The following is an 18377-nucleotide window of genomic DNA, read 5'->3' on the forward strand; positions in this document are numbered from 1 at the left end:
AAAAAAGACACAATTTACAATAGTAACAGCCACAACCAGAACTCCAAAAAATGTACACTCATGAATCAATGCAGAAAACATGCAAAACCCACATCTTATAAAATCATAAATCATAAAACCATGCATACTGCTGAAAACAGTCATGCCATGGCTTGACTCCCATCCCAGTGAGAATGGGGCGAGAGGAACAAGAGAGGGCAGAGAAGAGGGGAGAAGGCAGGGACACACAGCTGTCTGAAATCTGAGAGTCAGGCAAGCAGTGAGGGGAGGCTGTGATTCCTTTCTCAGGTGGAACTTCATGAACACTTCGTGCTGCCAGGCATCTCCCTTGTGTCTCCCTCCTCCTGCCCCCAGCATGCATCCATGCACCGAAAACACAAGGCCATGGGGGCTTGGATGCACTTCTGGCCAGGTGGCTGCAGCAGGTCAGCCTGCAGTTCCTGGGTCACCCCACCTGCCCACCTGCGGGGACGCTCTCCTCAGCCACCACTGGGCGTTCACTGCAGCCTGCTGCTTTTCCACGTGAGCCTGCAGGGCCAGGCTGGGGGTCTCACCCCGAGTGAAGGGGTGAGGCGAGGCTGGGGGGTTCTTGCCCTGAGCAGAGAGGTGGGGCCAAGGGGAAGGGGCTCACCCACCAGGCCCAGTGACGTGGAGGTCAGAGGTTGAGGCACACTGACTGGCTGGGCCAGCACGGGTGTCCAGGCCTTGGCTTCAGGTGTGGTCACTGGGGTCTCTGGAGGGCTCTCTGGCTCCTGATGGTGAAGCAAGACCACCCCTTTCCCACAGATCCATTAAATCAAGAATCAGAGTCCTCATGGGGTACTCCAACCTCAAGGACAGAAGCTAGAAAAGCCGGAGAGCAGAATAAAGCAGTTTGGCTCACCAGGTCTGGTTGACTCTTCTGGGGACACCAGCTGAAGGCCTCAGGAGCTGGGCTGGGGCTCGCAGCCCAAGCCAGAGAGGCCCAACCAAGCCCAGTGTTTCCTTGGCCGCCCAAGCCAGTGTTTCCGGTTCTCAGGGCTGGGGCAGCTGCGCTGGCTCTGTTCATGGTCCTCTGAGTACCAATTGCACGGAGCCTGTGTGCCCATCCCTAGCTCCCTGTTTGCCCATCCCTAGCTCCCTGTGTGCGCATCCCTAGCTCCCTGTGTGCCCATCCCTAGCTCTGGCCCCGACGGACCCCCGGACCCCCATCATCTGGAGTGTCCGCCTGGCCCTACTTCCAGGGACCTCTGCCCACCCCCACCTGCAGGTAGCCTCAGCTAACTGCTCAGCCCCTCCTAGCCTCACTTGCCCACGCACATGGGGTCTGCTTGGCATCCCCACGTCTCTGTAGACACTCGGTGCATGCCAGCCAGCTGGCTGGGCTCACATGGCAGCCACTGGTATTCATCCTTCCTCCTCCTGGGAGCGAGTCTTGTCTAGAGTGAGTGTGGCCAGAGGTGGGGCCACTGAGTCTGAATCCCCCTCTGCCCCTCACCTGGGTGTCACCAAGCTGTTTTAGCCTCTCTGAGGACCATTTCCTCTGTGAGATGGGACCGTAGTATGCTGTGTCGTGAGGTCATCCCCACATGGATGCCACTTGGAGCCCACGGCAACAGGCCCACATCTCCTGGCCCCTGTCACCTGGGCAAGTGACCAGAGCCTTGGTGGGTCCCCGGGGAGGCTGGGAAGGTGTGTGCACAGGGTCCACCTGTAGCCCGATGGACAGGATGGTATGGGGAGACCGACACACTGCAGCCTGGAGACCCCTGGAGGCCTTGATGTTCATCGTGGGCATCAGTCTTGGCCCCTCCCCCTCAGCCTAGCCTCGTCCAAGTCCGGTCCTGTTCCTGTCCTGCCCGTGTGGAGAGGCGGGGCAGGGCAGGGGGACAAGGGCACCCCAGGGAGCTGGCTGCACTACCCCTCCACCCCCAGTCTGGGGTGCCCTGGGCTGGGCTGCCCATCTGGGCCCGCGCATGGAATCAGGAGTACATTAGCTGTTCCTGAGTGAGCACTGTTCAGGCCTCCCTGCAGGGGCCATCACTCCTGTGTGCACAGATAGGAGGTCTCAGAGTCCCCCGCCCACACCGCAGGAGGAAGCCCAGAGGAGGGGCTGCAGGACCCCCACCCACAAGGGCGTTCAAGGCATCTCTGCATCGGGTAGGACATTTGGAGGGGAGGGGGATCCGTGAGTCAGAGGCCCACTGGCCCTGGTGCCCCCCAACTCCCATGCCCAGTGATAGACCTCTTTGCCTCTTCACCTAGACCTGACCCCTCCCTGCAGACCCCCCTGAAAGCCCCTTTCCTCACCTTGTCCCTGGGACCATGGGACCCCCACCCACCCACAACTCTGTTGGAAAGCTCCTGTCCTCCCTCTGTCTACTCCTTGGGAGCCGCCCAAGGCCCCTCTCTTCACCCACCCACCCCCTTCATGGGAACCCCCGAAGGCCCCCTCCCTCTGTCATCCCCGCTCCTCACCCTACCCTCCCTGCTCTCCTGCCAGCCTCCTGTGGGGCGCTGCCTGTTCCCTGTGCCCTGGAAGTTCAGGGGCCCAGGTGCAGCAGAGGGCAGGCGGAGGGTGCAGCTGCTGTGAGCAGGGCAGGCCCAGAACTCTGTCTGCACCACCGCTGCAGACTCAAATACATGCCTGTGTGCAGACCACAGGCCAGCTGTCCCATAGGGTCTCAATCTGAGACCCCAGAGGCAGGTGTGGCCCCCCTTTGCAGGTGAGCAGCCTGTGGTGGGGAGGTCCGGATGCAGGCCAGGCTGAGGTTCCAACCCTCACAACAGGACTCCGCCCTTCCTCCGCCAGGGTTCTGCACACTGTCTGTGCTTAATAAGTGCTAGGCACCCAGGATGGCCTCCCTGTGACCTTTGGGGCCAGAGCAAAGCCCCTGCCCCAGGGAGATGGGTAAAGAGAGGGCAGCAGGACCCCTTCACCACCCCTTGTGACCCTGCAGGGGCTGTGAGACAGGCCCACGTTGCCGGCAGCCCAGCTAATCACATAGACAGCTCCTCACCCACCAGACTCGCAGGCAGGTCTACTGGCCTCTCCTCAGTAGTTTAACGACCAAAACAGACCCTCCCGGTAAAAAGCCATTTTTTGACTGCAGCCAGGACCCAACCCATGAGCCGATCCCACGCTGTTCCTGTTCCGCTGTTCACCCAGAGGCCATGAGTCAGCCATGGTGGCCCGAGGCCAGCTGAGGAGGCAGGCCCAGTCTAGCCTGTGAGAACTTACCTGTTGGGGGCAGCCAGTGGCCACCCAACCTGGGCCATTACAGACAAGGGTAGTCAGGGCAGGACTGGACCCCGGGGTGTGGGCAGTCACTCCTGTCTGCTTACAGGAAGAGCAAAATGGGGTGGGGCCCGTGTCCCCCAACCACTTGGGAAGTAAGCCTAGTACTGTGCTGGGGGGCAAGGGAGTCCCTTGTTCTCAGGCTCTACCCTGGCCCCAGCCTGTCCAGAGCTGGCATAAACACAGCATGATCTGTAAGCCAGTCAGCACCAGACAGCTGGGGTCCCTCCCTGCGCCCTCCCTTGTCCAACAGACTGGCTGGGACTCCCCTGTGGCCCTGGGGCAGGCTTGAGGCCAAGGGGACAGTGGGGGGCTCCGTGGCTGCAGCAAGAGCTTAGGCGGGGCCAGGGGTATCCTGCAGAGGGACCCCCATGGGGCTCCAGGTGGGAGGGTCCCACCCACCAGCTCAGTCACAGAGATAGGGCTGCCTGGATCTCCTGGGATTCCCAGACCTCTCCCCTGCCCAGCCTCCCCCACCCGAGACCTCTCCGCTGACCCCTTCCCCGGATGCTCCCTCCCTAGGACTGTTCCCCCCAGGCCTCTCCCCCACCTTCCCCCAGGCCTATGGTGCTCCCCTCCTGAGCAGCAGAGCCAGCCAAGCTTCTCAGCTCCTAAGTGGGGCTCTTGCGTCTTTACAAGTCTCCCACCCCATAAAAGAGATCACCGCGGAGCTGTCCAGAACCCCTGGAAACAGCTGGGTCGGACGGTGACAGGGTGGGTGGAGAGAGGCGGAACGGGAGCCCGGGAAGCCTGGGGGTCGCCCTGGGAGCTCCAGACACCCTGTCCAGGACCGGGCAGCTGCAGCCCTCCCCACGCAGGTACCTCCCCACCCACGACCCCGACCCCCACCCCGGCGCTGAGCCTCTCTGCTGGCTGCAGGGGTGGGGGGCTGGACAGGCCCTTCCAGGACATCCAGGAGTATCAGGCAGGGTTGACAACAAATGCCTGCTGATTAATAACAGTTTGATGGGAATTTCATACGCTGCCTGGATCCTAAACATTCTCCAGGAACATCTGGCTGAGACCGGGCAGCCTGTTTATGTTCACAATGAGAACATTTTTTCCGACGCAGCCCGCAGCGATTGTCTCCCTCAGAAGCAGCGCTGGGGACGCCCTCCTGGGCCGGGCAGGGGGCGGGGGACTGGGGCCGGGGCTGCAGCCAGCCAGCCTTCCTTGGGGCCCAACCCCTTCGCCGACCCTGCAGGGTGGGACCCCACCCCCGAGTGGAAGAAGGAACCGGAAGCCAGGCCCGCGGGCAGGGAGGGTGGGGGCGAATCCCTACCCCACCCGAGGGGAGGGGCCTGAGAAGGGCTTTTCCCCCCCTCTTCCTCCATTCTGCCCCCTTACTCCTCCCTCTCCAAGATTCCAAATCCCCTTCATCCCATAGAGGGGCTTCCTGGCTTCTGGCCCGCCCGCGGTGCACAGCCTTGCTGGGGGAGGGGAGGTAGTCAGCGGAGTGGTGTGGGTCACCAGGGAGGGGAGGGGACACCCAGCTGGGGCTCCCAGGCTCACGTCTACGGTGGGGACCGGGCTGTGGGCCCCTTTGGCCCTCACCTCCCTGGCCTGGTCCAGTCCCTCCCGCCCTGAGCTTAGGGCCTCCAGGGGTCCCTCTGGGGGCGTCCAGGAAGGGGAGGGCAGCCGTGGCGTGGAGGGCCTTGCGCACCCAGGTGGTGATGAGGGCGGGCGGGGCGCGGGGAACGTGCAGCCAGAGACCGTGCTAAGACCCCGAAGTCGAGCCCTGGGCAGGGGCGGCGGCACCGTCTGCCCCTCACCCCATCCCCACCGCAGCTAACGTGGCCCGCCCGCCCATGGGGTCAGGGTTTCCAGGCGGCCGGTCCTGCCCCCGGGGCTGCACCGCGCCACTGTGTGTGGTCCTTGTGGGAGCCACTCATTTATTTTTCTTTCTTTGTCCCTCCTCTTCCTTTTTAATAAAATGCATCAGAGCGGAGTGCAGACGCCACCTCCGATGTCCTTATAAAACGTGTGCGCGGGTGCTGCGCATGCGTGTGTCGCTGGGGGCTGTAGGCTGGGAGCCTCCGGGAACTCCCCTCGCCAGGCCACCAGCCTTCCTACTCATGGGGAGGGGGCGTCGAGCCCAATGAGCTCATGCTGGGCCTTGGAGACCCGTCGACACTTTGCACATAAACAGGGAAGCACCGGGTCCCCAAGGCGGTGGGGGCCAGGCTAGGAGGGGATGGATGGTGGCCACCCCCAGGCCTCCCTCCACAGCCCCGAAGGAGCTTTACGGGGTCCACTATCCTGGGACCTAAGGCCCAGGGTGCCTGTTCTTGGCTGTAACCCCTGCCGGTGGACCATGCTCAGGCAAAGAAGGGGAGGGGCCTGAACCCACAGCAGCTCAAGGATGAATCCTGCTTCTGTTGGGTAGGAGAAGGGTCGGCCTCTGTGAGCAGGTGTCCCCCACCACTAGGCTTGCAGTGCTGGATAATGTGGTCCTGCAGGCCTGTGTGAGGGCCCAGGCCTCCCCTCCAGAGGGGTGCCCAGCACTGCAAGGATGTGGGTGGATGGGACAGGCACTCCCAGCACCCAAACACTTGCTCTAAGTGACAGCCCAGGTGTTCCCTGGTGTTTATGTTTTCCTGCAGAGCTGATCTCAGCGCCTACCTGCCCACCACACAGGCAATGTCAACAAATCCCTGTAGGTAGGCCCAGCCCGGCCTCCCCTGCAGCGCCTCAGGGACCTGCCACCCCCACCGAGTCCAGACACGCACTCAGGCATCCCAGGCTTCAGGTGCCCAGAGATCAGGTGTCCAGGGCTCAGGTGCCCACAGCCCAAGTGTCCACAGCCCAGGTATCCAAGCCCCAGGTGCCCACAGCCCAGGTATCTAAGGCTCAGATGTCCACAAGCCAGGCATGCATGGCTCAGGTGTCCACGGCCCAGGCATGCAAGGCCCAGGTGCCCACATCCTGGTGCCCACAGCCCAGAGAGCAAGACTGCAGCTGGCGGAGGGTCCTGGGCTGGCTCTTCACCCCCTGACCTGGTCAGGCCAGCATTATCAGGTGTCACCACCAACCGCTGGCCACTATCTCCTGGAGGAGCTCTGTCCTTCCGACAGCACTGATAGGGCCATCCTCTTGTCACTCAGCTACAGATAGCATTATCCACCAGCCCTGCCCGCTCCCTACCCCCCCACTCCCCTGCCCTACCCATGCACCCAGGAGCCTGGGAGGGCGGGGGCTGCTCCCATGCACCACAGCCCTAGCACCTCCCATGGGAGGCCCTGTGGCCCACTCCCCTCCCCACTGTAGACCCCTTCCCAGGTAGCTCTGGGGGCTCTGTGGCACCCACGGTGGGAAGGGGCTCAGGGTATGCATCTGGGAGAGGGGTGAGTGGAGCAGGTAGGGGCTGGTGCTGCCCTGTGGCCTCTGAGGCTTGGCCACTCTCCAGCCTCACTTTCCCCTTCGCTGCAGACACTCACTGGGGGCAGCCACCTGCTGCACAGAGCCACCCAGGACACTGCCTCCCTCCATCCCCTCCTGGTCTGCCCCTCCCCATGCTCCAGCCACTCTCCCCTCAGATCTAGAAATGCCACTCCCAGCGACTGTCCCTGCTACCTAGGGCAACCCCCCTTATCCTGCTCTGGGGAGGACCTCTGACCCCTCCTGGCCTTTCTCGAGGGAGCTGTGGAGCCAGAAGGAAGGCTCAGAGGATGCCGGCAGCCACGCCGCCCCAGTCTCAGTGATGAGGGTGTGGGGAAGAAGGGCTTCCACCATGCCAAAGGCTTCCAGCAGTCTTTACTCGGGACAGCAGGACAGCATCTGGGCAAGCAGGAAACTGGTCGGCAGGAACCAACCGGAAATTTTAGGGCCCCTTGGAGGGAGTGCCCCAGAGAGGGAAGGACCAATCCCACCCTGCAAGGCACCCAGGGGACTCTCAAAGGCAGGACGATTCCAGAACCCTTCCCTGGGTCCCTGGCCTCCCAGTGTCTGTTCCTGTGTCCAGAATGCTGGGTCTGGAAGTCTCAGCAAGGAGAGCCCCCAGCCATCATGGGCAGGACTTGGCAGAAATGACGCTTTTTCTAGAAGACTCTAACTTGCCTTGGGTCAGAGGTGGCCCAAGGGACCCACAGAGAGAGGCAGAAGGGGTGTGCGTGGCCTCTGAGGCTGCATCACAGAGGCATTGCAGCTTCGGTCGTTGTCCCGGGGACTGGCCATGTCATGAGGACACTCAAGCAGCACCGTAGAGAGATTCCCATGCAGAGAAACCGAGGCCTCTGGCCAACAGCTGGCCCCAACTCGAGGGGGCTTGAGCCCATTCCCCTCGCAGATGCCCCGCCCAAGCCAGGCCCCAATCCTGACCCACGACGACCACAGAGGCAGCAAACAATGGTTGAACAGAAACCAGTTCACTTGGGTTGGGGGTGCATGGTTATGCGCCCAGAATACATACCCTTAAAGTCTGTTGGCGGATGATTTCCTGGGCACCCATGGGTGTGACCTGCTATGCTGCTGGGAAGCTGCCCCAGGGCCCACTGAGGCATACGGGCACACACATGCACACCCAGACACTGATGGCTGTGGGAGGAAACGGCCCCGAGAGTGCAGCTGCAGCATCCCAGGGCCAGGGGTGGTGCTTACATGTGCCCACTGGGGCACCAGAGGGACTGTCCATCCACTCGCACCCCAGCCAGGGGGAGGCTCCAGGCCTCCAGGGCAGAAAGAAGAGGGTGGGACCTCAAGACAAAGAAATAGGATCCAGGAGACACCTGCAAAGTCCTTCTGCAGGTGCGGGGCAGGTTAGGAAGGCCGGAGGTCGTGGGTGTCCTGTTGAGGCCCTCCATGGGAGGCCACAGGTCCAGTGAGCCACCTCTCTGTCCCTGACCAGAGACAAGGGTACCCAAGGAGGGGATCACTCTCACTTCAGCCACCTTGTCCGTGGCCACCCAAGCCCAGGGACCACCCTGTGTGCAGATGGGGAAACTGAGGCTCAGAGAGCTGGTGAGAGCTCTGACTCTATATGGCTTCCTCAGCCCCAGGATCAAGCCAGAGGTGCTCCTGGAGTTTGGGGGAGATGACATACATTTCTCTGCCTACCCAGGGGGCCGAGGAGCCAGGCCCAGATTGGGCAGGTGGGGAAAAGTCGTCCTGACCCTTCCAAGCAGCGGAAGAAGCTGCACAGACTGCACAGGAGGGGATGGGAGAGCCAGCTTGTGCTTAAGCGATGCTCACACACACACCCGTGCACACGTGTGAGCACACACACACACACGTGTGCCTGCCAAGTTGGCATGAGCTTGGCCTGGGACTCCCCAGCCTGGCCTCCCTCCTTGTACCAGGGAAGGCTCCGTGGGAGGCTGGGCAAGGCCGCCTGCAGCTGCACCCCAGACCAGCCCTGGAGCTTAGCTCCCCGGAGGGCAGCCATGGGGGCCGAGCACATGTGCTAGAGGCCCCGCCACCCCCTGCATGGGTGCAAGGGGGACCCCATGCCTGATTTACGACGGGGCTCCCGCACATGTGTCAAAGACGCCGTGTTAAGCACCGGCATAAAAGTAATATATAGGTGACCACAACATTTTTATGACCTTCCTCAGCCCAGCCCTGGAATGCTGGGATCCAGCAGGTGAAATAACACACATTTCGGCGGCTGCAGCCGCAGTGGCCCAGGGCAGGCAGGGAGTCGGGGAGGCTGCATCTGGCCTCAGCCCTGGGGGGACCCCGTGTTGGAGTGTGCAGGGTCAGACAGAGAAGGCAGATGCCAGGGTGGTGTTAGGATAGAGGCCTGGAGGACTCAGGACACACAGCATGGTGGGGCAGCCTGGGTTGTTCTGAGAGAGGGCCACCTGGCAAGGGCTCCAAGTGTCCCTTCCTGTTTACCCTGCACCTGCTTTCTGCCCCAGGGAATGGGGAATGCAGTGTCCCACAGACAGGCTGCAAAAGAGCCTTCCAGAGCCTACAGCTGTTCTAGGGTTCCCTGTCATCATGGGGGCCTCATCCCAGGGGAGCACAGCCCTTGAATTTGTGATGACCTTGGGCTGCAGCAGTGGGGAGGCTGGGAATGTCCCCCAAGTGAGCTACAGTTACAGTGAAGCAAACAGCATGTGCTGCCTGACAAACACACCCACATCATCTCTACCTGTCTTCAAGTAGTAACGGTGAGGAGTCCTTCTAAAGGTGGGGCCAGCAGGGCCTGAAGGTGCAGCTTGGGGGTCATGGCGGAGGCTGCGTTTGGACCATGAGGACACCGGGCTTGCAGAAATGGCCACAGCAACACCTCCATCAGTCTCCAGCCTTTCACTGCTTTCACCTCCCATCAGGGAGGAGAGGCCCCCAGGGCTGGGTGGACCTTTGTGATGCAGGTGGGCAGGGAGATGGGAGGTTCCAGGTCTGGACGAAAGGTGGGCCCAGCTCCCAACCATGCACTCTATCTCTCGTCTCTGCCTCTTGTCTCTCTCTGTCTCTGCCCCTCTATCTCTCTCTGGGTCTCTCCCTATCTCTCTCTCTGTCTCTCTGTCTCTTCCTCTCTCTCTCCCCCAACCTGCTCTTGGAGCCCAGTGCCGGGTAGTCAGGAAGCCCCTGGGGTGTCCAGGTGGCCCTGCAGGAACCCCCAGGCTGCCAGCCCTGATTGCTTGGTGCAGTCAGACAACAGCTGCTGTTCCACCCAAGACACGGGGGCAGCTGGGCTGGTGGCCGTGTAGCCCTGTGTGGAGCCAGGCCCTAAGATGGCGCTGGGAGCACAGAGCCCTGGATCCCACCCAGCTCAGAAAGGAGATGGGGAAGGAATTCCGGGAATTCGCAGGAAGCGGGTGGGAGGAACGAGGCTGGCGGGGCTCGGGTGGGGCTGAAGTGCCTGACTGTTCTCTTCTTCCTGGTTCTCTGAATTCCGCAAGAGCACATAGTACGTTTATGATCAGAAAAAACATCTTCTAACCCTGAGGCTCCCCTGCCCTCAAGCCAGAGACTGAATACGACTCCTGGTTCCCAAAGCCTGTGTCCCCATCTCCCCTGCTGACCACCTCCAGCCCAGGCCCCTTCCCCACTCTCCCTCCAGTCACTTCCCCCCTGCAGCCACCCAAGGCTGGCCTCTAGGCAGTGTCCCATGAGCACTTTCCAGGGAGCTGAGCCAGCGACACCGCAGCACCCACATTTTGGGGTCTGGGGAGGGAAGAGGGGCAAGGGGAAGAGCAGGCAATGACGGCTAGGGGTCTTTTCCACCTCCAGTCCCCTGAGGGCCATCAGGGTTCTTGGGCTTCCATGCTTGACCCACCAAGAAAGGGCCTCCGAGACTCAAGTTCTTCTGCCTTAGGGCCCAGGAGCAGCGAGAGAGTGAGGTCCAGGACAGGGAGTGTCTGGGAAGAGGAAGGCCACAGGCTTGAAGGGCCTAGGAACCCCCAGCCCCTTTCAAGGCTGCGGTTTGATGCCACAGGAAGGCCACGGTCAGGTCAGAGACACCCCAGCCCTGACTGTGGGTCCGTGCCTGCTGTGCTCACCAACCTGGGAGGACAGAAGAGGCCAGCACTGACCTGCCCTCACCCCTAGCTCGGGGGCTGGCTGCATCCCAGAGCCGTCCCATTGCCCACAGGCTAGTGGGTAGTTTGGGGCAGTGGCCCTGCTGGGTCTCCAGCCCATGTGGCTGGGGGAAGGGGAGTGCTTGCTGAGGAGGAGGAGAATGCAGGAGCTGGGAGGCCTGAGCCCTGAGGGTCCCCGTCTGGTACATGACCTTTCTGAGCCTGACATCCACAAACCCAGTGGGATCCTCCTTTGGCCAGCACCTCCTCCTGCAGGAAGCCCCCTGACCATTCCCTTCTTCCATTCGGCTTTCCCCCAGAGACTTTGGGGGTGGCACAGGGGGTTCCCGAGGCCCTCAAGGCACCACTCAGGGGCTGAGGGTATGTAGGGTGTCCCCAGAAGTCTGCCCCTGCTGACCTCTTCTAGCATAGAGACTGGCTCTTCTGTCCCGGCCGCCCCTCGTGCCACCAGCAGCTCCACCCCACCCATCCACCACATTCTCAAACATTCACGGCCTGACTCGGAGGCAGCAAGAACAAAAGCACAAACACAACGCGAAGGGAATGGACTTATCTGCTGCGGCATCTTGGACATTCTTCTTCTGGACTTTAGAAACGCTGCCTGGAGGCAGTTTCTCTTGGACTGCATTCAATGTTTCCGCAGGAGAAGGGGAGCAAGTGGGGCGGAGTGACTGCATCCTTTGGGTACTGGCATGGGACAAGGTGGGTGCCCGAGAGCCCTGGAGCACAGATGTCTGTGCACGGCTCTGTGCACCAGCCCAGGTGCAGGGTGTCCACAGTGCAAGAGCCCACAAGCACACAACCACAATAGGTGTTCGCACACGAGCCCAGGATGTGTGGTGCCTGCAGGCATGTGCCCAGGACCCAAGGTGTCCACAAACGTACCCATGCCCTTCACATGGACTCAGACACAGGGTGTCCACGATGCAAGCATCCACGCACGTGCCCATGCCACATGCACACAACCATGAAGGGTGTCCATACACAAGCCCCGGACACATGGTGCTTGCAGGCATGCGCCTGGGACCTTTGGTTTTCACGAACGCGTCCATGCTCTTCACATGGACTCAGATGCAGGGTGCTATGACACACGTGTCCATGCACACGCCCGTGAAGCAGAGTGTCCATACATGAGCCCAGAGACATGATGCCTGCAGGCATGTGCCCAGTACACATGGGGTGCACCCACACCCATGCATGGCACCTCCTGCCACTGTTTTCAGAGTCCACAGCTGTAAACACACACATAGATCCCTTTTCTCTGCTCACAGACCAGGTGGGAGCACATGCTTGTGCTCACAGTCATATGGCAGACAGGTTGGAGAGCACACACTCACACCTGTCCAGGGGCCCACACAAGCAACCTCCGTGACACATCTACCCCCAGGCTTAGAGGGTGGGAGGCCTTCCGGGCTTATGGAGGGGGATGGGGCACAGGGGCTGGGGCTGAGGCCAGGCTGCTGCAGGACCGTGCCCCTAGACGCTGGGTAGGCTGGTGACTCAGGGTTAGCATGGCAGCCAGAGTCATCTACCCTTCCACTCACCCATCATGCTGTCAGCCAGGACAGTAGCATTCCTGTTGCCACCGGATGGCCCATCAACAGCATGGAGACACGGGGTCATCCCCTGGACTTGCTGCCATGCTCTCTGTGAGGAAAAAATTCCTCATGATGCGTGTTAACGTCAGTGAGGAAGACTGCACCAAGGCACATCACGTGGGTGTGGGCCCCTGCCTTGGGGCCTTGGGGGAGATGGGGCTGAACCCCGACACAGCAGGGCAGTGGGTGGGGAAGCCGAGGAGCAGCATGGGGTCGGTGTGTGGGAATGACTGAGAGGAGACAGCAGGGCTGAGGGGGGTCTGGCTAAACCCACCTCACAGGGTCCTTGCTGCAGGCAGGCAGGGTGATCAGACATCACCTGGGGACAGTGGAGGATAAGGGACCCCATCGGATGTCATTGAGGGTGAGCAGATATCCAGGGTGTGGGGTTCTGCCTAAAAGGACTAAGTCAGGTTCTTTATAAAATTGGACCATGTAAGCCAGGTGCAGTGGCTCATGCCTATAATCCCAGCACTTTGGGAGGCTGAGGCAAGAGGATCTCTTGAGGCCAGGATGGCGAGACCAGGCTGGGCAACATAGCAAGACCCCATCTCTACAAAAATGAGAATAAAAATGAGCCATCAGACACAACTACGGAAGTGCAAAGGTCAGTCCTGGAGGCGGCGAGTTGGCAGTAGCCTGAGGGTAGGACTTGCGTCTCCCTGTGTACCTGCCGCCTCCAAGTTCAGATGCACTGGCCGTTCTCGCTGGGGCCATGAGCCAGGCAGCACCCGGGGCCCGGCACCCCAGGCCTGGACTCCTGGGCCTCTGCTCGCTCCAGTTTCCGGCACCTTTCCCAGGAGGGGCTCTGGGTGAGTGCTGGCCCTGTAGGTCCCTCGGCCTGTCGGGAGAGCCACTCAGGACAGCGGCTTCAGGCCCCCAGGCACTCTCAGCTCAGGAGGCCCGGCCTGGTTTCCTGCATTCCAGCAGAGGGCCAGATCTGACAGGCCAGCATTCCTCTCGCAGAGCATGCCCGGGGCGGCCACTCAGCACCAGGCCCCGCTGGGAGTCTCACTGGGCAAAGGCACCCAGCATCCAGCTGCCTCCCCTGCAGGACCCCAGGAGCATGGCCTGGGCTGCCAGGTGGCCTTGGAAGAGCACAAAGAGCTGTTTGTCTTCAGGCTCGGGTGAGGAGGAAGGGCCTGCCAGGAGGCTGGAGTCAGACTCTGACTCCTTCTGACACCACGGCTCCCTCTTCCCAGCAGCTTCAGCTGGTGCCTCCCCTCTCTCAGCCTCAGCTTCCCCACTGCCATCCATCCGCTCAGTCAGTTTTTCCCAGAGTGGTCACTCATGGACTCTGTTATGCGGCAGGGGCTCGAGCCTCCGCCCTGCCCGGGAGGGGCCCACAGTCAGGAGGGAACGCGGGCAGGCAGCCGTGGGTGAGGCCCAGGACAGAGGATCCAGGGAGCTCTCAGCATCCAGAGCTGCAGTCAGGGAAGGGGAGCCAGGTGAGGGGACCTCTGAGATGGGCTTTGCAGTGTGACTAAGAGTTCACAAAGAGAAGCGTGTTCCCTGCCGGAGTGTGGTCCTCAGGGGCCTGTGGTTCCAGGTTCCCATGATTAAAGCCTGTGCCCAGGAGAGATGAGCAGGGACAGGGTGAGGGCAGATGGGCCAGGAGGCTTCCACAGGGTAGAAGCTTTGGTTACAATGCCCTTTCCTCTTCCTGCAAAGCAGTGGCCCATGGGCCAGCCCTCCCACACCCCCGTACCTGCCAGGCTTCGCAACAGCCCACAGGGACACACAGAGCCCCTGCCCAGTATCTCAGCTCCTGTCCCCAGGCATCCCAGTGCATGGAGGCTTCAAGAGGCAGAAGCCCTGTGTTTGGGAGCAGGCCTGCTGGGGACCACTAAGGGTCAGGGTCCCTCATAAGACTTTGGGGGCAGCCTCGGAGGCCCAGGCCACTCAAACATGGGAGCCAGGCTGGTGGACAGGGCCACAGCCCCACCCAGAGTCCCCCAGCACTGGGCTTGGGCCCCCGCTTCCTCCAGGGGAGACCACGTGGGTGACTGAGTCCCACTTGTCCCCTCCAGCTCCTCCCCTGCCCCATGGGTCCTCCCTCACCCCTCACAGCCTCAGTGTCCTTATCCGGGAGATGAGCTGCCAGCCCCTCACATACAGGCTGCAAACCATCTGCCACACTGCGGGAAATCTCTATTTCCTGGGTTCTGCAGTGTGGGGATGAGAGCAGGGAGACAGGACAAAGAGGAGGGGCCCTGAGACTGGCTCTCAGCCCTTGGTGCAGGCCACAGCTGGATTGGGGTATGGGGCTCAGGCCCAGTACTCTGTATCCAGCTGACACCCACAGGACATTCTTGTAGCCTCCCCAGCAATGGGGAGCTCCCACCTCCAGGGACAGCCCATGGCTCTGGGGTCACCATCCCACAAGTCAGCTCTGCCCAAGATGGTGGCCACCGGCTCCTGGCTGGTGATGGGCCTGAGGTGGAAACAGGGCTGTCTCCTCCCTCCAGGCTGAATGGCTCTGGACCTGGCTGTTTCCAGGGATAGAGCCCCGTTGCCTGGCTCAGCCAGCCTCATGGTTGTCTAGAGAATGCATGGATGAATGAACGAATGATTGACCAAACAAATGAATGAATAAATTAATGATTAACTGAACAAATGAGTGAATAAATGAACTAGTGATTAATCAAACAAATGAGTGAATGAACTAATGATTTACTCAACAAATTAATGAATGAATAAACTAATGATTGGACAAATGAACAAAGAAATGAATGGATAAATGCACAAACAAGTGACTGAACTGATTGGATGAATGAACAAAGGAATCAATGAGTGAACAAATGATTGAACAAAGGAATGAATGAATGAATGAATGAATGAACTAGTGATTAATCAAACAAATGCATGAATGAACTAATGATTTACTGGACAAATTAATAAATGAATGAACATATGATTGAACAAAGGAACAAATGAATTGATAAATGAACTAAGGAGAAAATGAGTGAATGGCTGAATGAATGAACAAACGAATGGCACCCGGCCAGTGAGGAGTGAATGCATTTGTCCCTTCAGCAGATATCTGACCACCAGGGTCAGCGGTGCTAACAGGCCAGGGCCCAGCTCAAGCCCCCGTTTCCTTTTCTGAGGAGTATCCCCAGGGTCTCATCCTCCCAGTGATTCAAGGCCCCTGCCTGTGGCCCAGTCCCCCAGCCAGCACTAGGAGGGTCCCACCTGCCTCCTTCAGCCATAGCCCCCATGTACACCCATGGGTCTCCTCCCTCACCTCTCGACTCTGAGGTGGGTGGCAGGAGGTAAGAGAGCTGACCACCACCGGCCCAGGGATCTCACACATTGTAAAAAAAAAAAAAAAAAAAAAAGGTGCCTCAGTTTCCCCACCCCATTGCCCTCCTTTGGAATTTCTATGAAGCATACGTGGGGTGGTGCACACTTGGCACACACGGACGGACACACACACAGTCACACAGCCACACACAGACCAGGAAGTCACACACAGAACCTTGAAACCTCACATGAGACCACTGAGAATCCCATGGCAGAGGACGCCCTGCCTGTGGGCAGCCCACGCACTGACAGCTTCCTGGGGCCCACAGTGAACAAGGCCCAGGCCCCTAGGCAGACACACGCAACGAGAGGATGGACAGGTGGACAGAGGCAGAGGAAGGAGTGGATCCCTGGACGGCTGCCTGGCGAGTCAGGCAGGTGGTGTGGGTGGGGTGGGGGTCATAGTGGGAGGTGGGTGGATGAATCCTGGGAAGTTGATGGGACTGGTTTCTACCATGGGGGACACCACAAAGCTCCAAGCTTGGCTCGGGAGGCTGGGCACAGAAGCCCATCCTTGTCCCAGCTCTGCAGACCCCACTGTCCTTGCCAGCCCCACCCTCTGCACCTCCCAGTCCCTTCAGATATTTCAGTCCCCAGGTAAGTGCTTCTGTCTCCTGACACAGGTGCTCCTGCACACACACGTTCTCATGCAGCACACTCAAGCGCAGGCTTAGGCACACAGGCCACCTCTCACAGCTAACATAGGTCAAGTGACAGTGGGCCAGGGGGTGCAGGTGGGAGAGCCGGAGAGGGGGGTCTCAGAGAACCACAGGGGAGTGGCCAGAGCAGGGGGAGGGACCAGGATGAGAGGAAGGGATGGGGTAGCTCCAACAGGCGTATGACAGCAGGGTCACAGGCTGTACCCACCCTGCCTGGCCGCTGACACAGGGGGCCAGACAGGGGGCACAGGGCAGAAGTGCAGGGCACTGGGCCAGGCTGAGGACCTTCTGCTGCCCTCGGGAGAGCTACCCCCCGCCAGCCCCTGGGTGACAGGCCCTCCCCTAGATGCCACTGGTTCACCCCTGCCCTCCCCAAAGTCACGTCCTAGGCACCCCTGCCCTCTGTCCCCTCTTCTTCCCTTGCAAAGTGGCAGGTGCAGGTGCTCACGCCAGGCTCGGCAGCCCCCAGTCTGCTTTGCGGCTCTCTCTTTCAGTCTGTCTCTCTGTTTCTGTCTCTCTGTCTTACCTCTCTGCCACTCTCTGTCTCCCTCTGTCTCTGTCTCTCTGCTTCCCCCCTCTGTCTCTATCTTCCCCTCTGTCTCTCAATCTCTCTCTCTCTGTCTCCCTCCATCTTTCTCCGTCTCTCTCCTTTCCTCTCCCTATCTCTTCCTCTCCCTGTCTCTGTCTGTCTCCCGGCATGTCCCTCCCGCTAGTGTCTATGTTCAGCTGTTTTCCTCTGGCTGTGTGAGGGCAGTGGTGGGTGCAGGGGCGTCCCATGCTGCTCTGCTGTTGGAAGTTCCTTCATCCAGGGCGGAGAATGTGCTTGGGCCAGGGGTAGGAGGCGGGGCGCAGGCGGCCTGCAGTCCCACAGGAACTCGTGCAAGGAAAACTCTCTGAAGCTGCAGGGCCCACGCACCCACCTTGGCTGTGGGACGGAGAGAAGCCCCTCCGGGGTACAACTCCGCCAGACGGCCCAGCCTGAACCTCTTTTCCACGCACTTCCCCAACTTCCACAGCCTCCCCACAGCCCTAGGTCACTGGCCTATGCCCCACCATGCTGGGACCAGACCCCGGAACGCCTCCCACCTGAAAATGGCCTTGAAACACATGACTCCGTCACAGTCACAACAGACTGCAGGCAGGGCACCAGCCTAGTGCCACAGCCCACCAACAGCGTGCGGCCAGACCAGAGCACAGGCCCACAGACCCACAGGAGCCATGCTCAGTGTCCCTCCCTCAGTGTCAGCCCACAGAGGCTGGTGGCCATGGAAGCAGGAGAGACAGGACAGTGAGATAGACACATAGGGACAGACAATATCAGTGTCCCGTCTCCACAGGGTCCCCATGTCCTTGAGGTGACCTGGGCCACATGTCCCCTCAGTGTTCTGTCTTTCTACAGTGTCCCCATGTCCACGGGGAGGGGGGGGGGAAGTGGGCCACACATCCCCTCCACATCCCATCCCTCCACAGCATTCCTATGTCTACAGGGGGACCTGGGCCATGCGTCCCCTCCACGTCCCATCCCTCCACGACATTCCCGTGTCCATGGCGGGACCTGGGCCACATGTCCTCTCCACATCCCGTCCTTCCACAGCATTCCCATGTCCACAGGGGGACCTGGGCCACACGTCTCCTCCACATCCCGTCCCTCCATGGCATTCCCGTGTCCATGGGGGGACCTGGGCCACATGTCCCCTCCACGTCCTGTCTCTCCACAGCACTCCCATATCAATGCAGGGACCTGGGCCACGTGTCCCTTCCAGGTCCTGTCCTGTCCGTGTCCTGTGCTCCTGCCTTTGGGGCTGTAACTTTCAATTTCTTGGCCCAGTTCCAGGCTTGTCAACAGCCTCTGGCAGTCAGGAATTGGACATTCTCAGAAGAGTATCAGGCATGGTGCCCATTGGGTCTGTGCAGTTATGTTGTGCCAACTGTTTGCTTTTCCCGCCATGTAGGCTCATTCTTGTGTAAAAGATTCCCAATTGCACAAGAACCTGGCTGGTCTTTAGGGCTGGGTAACTGGGAGTAGGAGGGCCCCAGCCTTTTCTTTTGGGCC

The 18377-nt window shown here is 60.4% G+C and overlaps 4 annotated features.

Annotated features, from left to right (window-relative positions):
* Nucleotides 3066-3661: an enhancer, noted in NCBI's record as "H3K27ac-H3K4me1 hESC enhancer chr1:228073527-228074122 (GRCh37/hg19 assembly coordinates)". NCBI's record gives its function as "activates a minimal SCP1, AML or CMV promoter by ChIP-STARR-seq in primed H9 embryonic stem cells {active_cell/tissue: H9 hESC(primed)}" and the evidence as "EXISTENCE:reporter gene assay evidence [ECO:0000049][PMID:30033119]".
* Nucleotides 3662-4258: an enhancer, noted in NCBI's record as "H3K27ac-H3K4me1 hESC enhancer chr1:228074123-228074719 (GRCh37/hg19 assembly coordinates)". NCBI's record gives its function as "activates a minimal SCP1, AML or CMV promoter by ChIP-STARR-seq in primed H9 embryonic stem cells {active_cell/tissue: H9 hESC(primed)}" and the evidence as "EXISTENCE:reporter gene assay evidence [ECO:0000049][PMID:30033119]".
* Nucleotides 13182-14028: an enhancer, noted in NCBI's record as "H3K27ac-H3K4me1 hESC enhancer chr1:228083643-228084489 (GRCh37/hg19 assembly coordinates)". NCBI's record gives its function as "activates a minimal SCP1, AML or CMV promoter by ChIP-STARR-seq in primed H9 embryonic stem cells {active_cell/tissue: H9 hESC(primed)}" and the evidence as "EXISTENCE:reporter gene assay evidence [ECO:0000049][PMID:30033119]".
* Nucleotides 16791-17291: an enhancer, noted in NCBI's record as "H3K4me1 hESC enhancer chr1:228087252-228087752 (GRCh37/hg19 assembly coordinates)". NCBI's record gives its function as "activates a minimal SCP1, AML or CMV promoter by ChIP-STARR-seq in naive H9 embryonic stem cells {active_cell/tissue: H9 hESC(naive)}" and the evidence as "EXISTENCE:reporter gene assay evidence [ECO:0000049][PMID:30033119]".

The sequence above is a fragment of the Homo sapiens genome, chromosome 1 (genome assembly GCF_000001405.40).
Source record: "Homo sapiens chromosome 1, GRCh38.p14 Primary Assembly".
Taxonomy (NCBI): domain Eukaryota; kingdom Metazoa; phylum Chordata; class Mammalia; order Primates; family Hominidae; genus Homo; species Homo sapiens.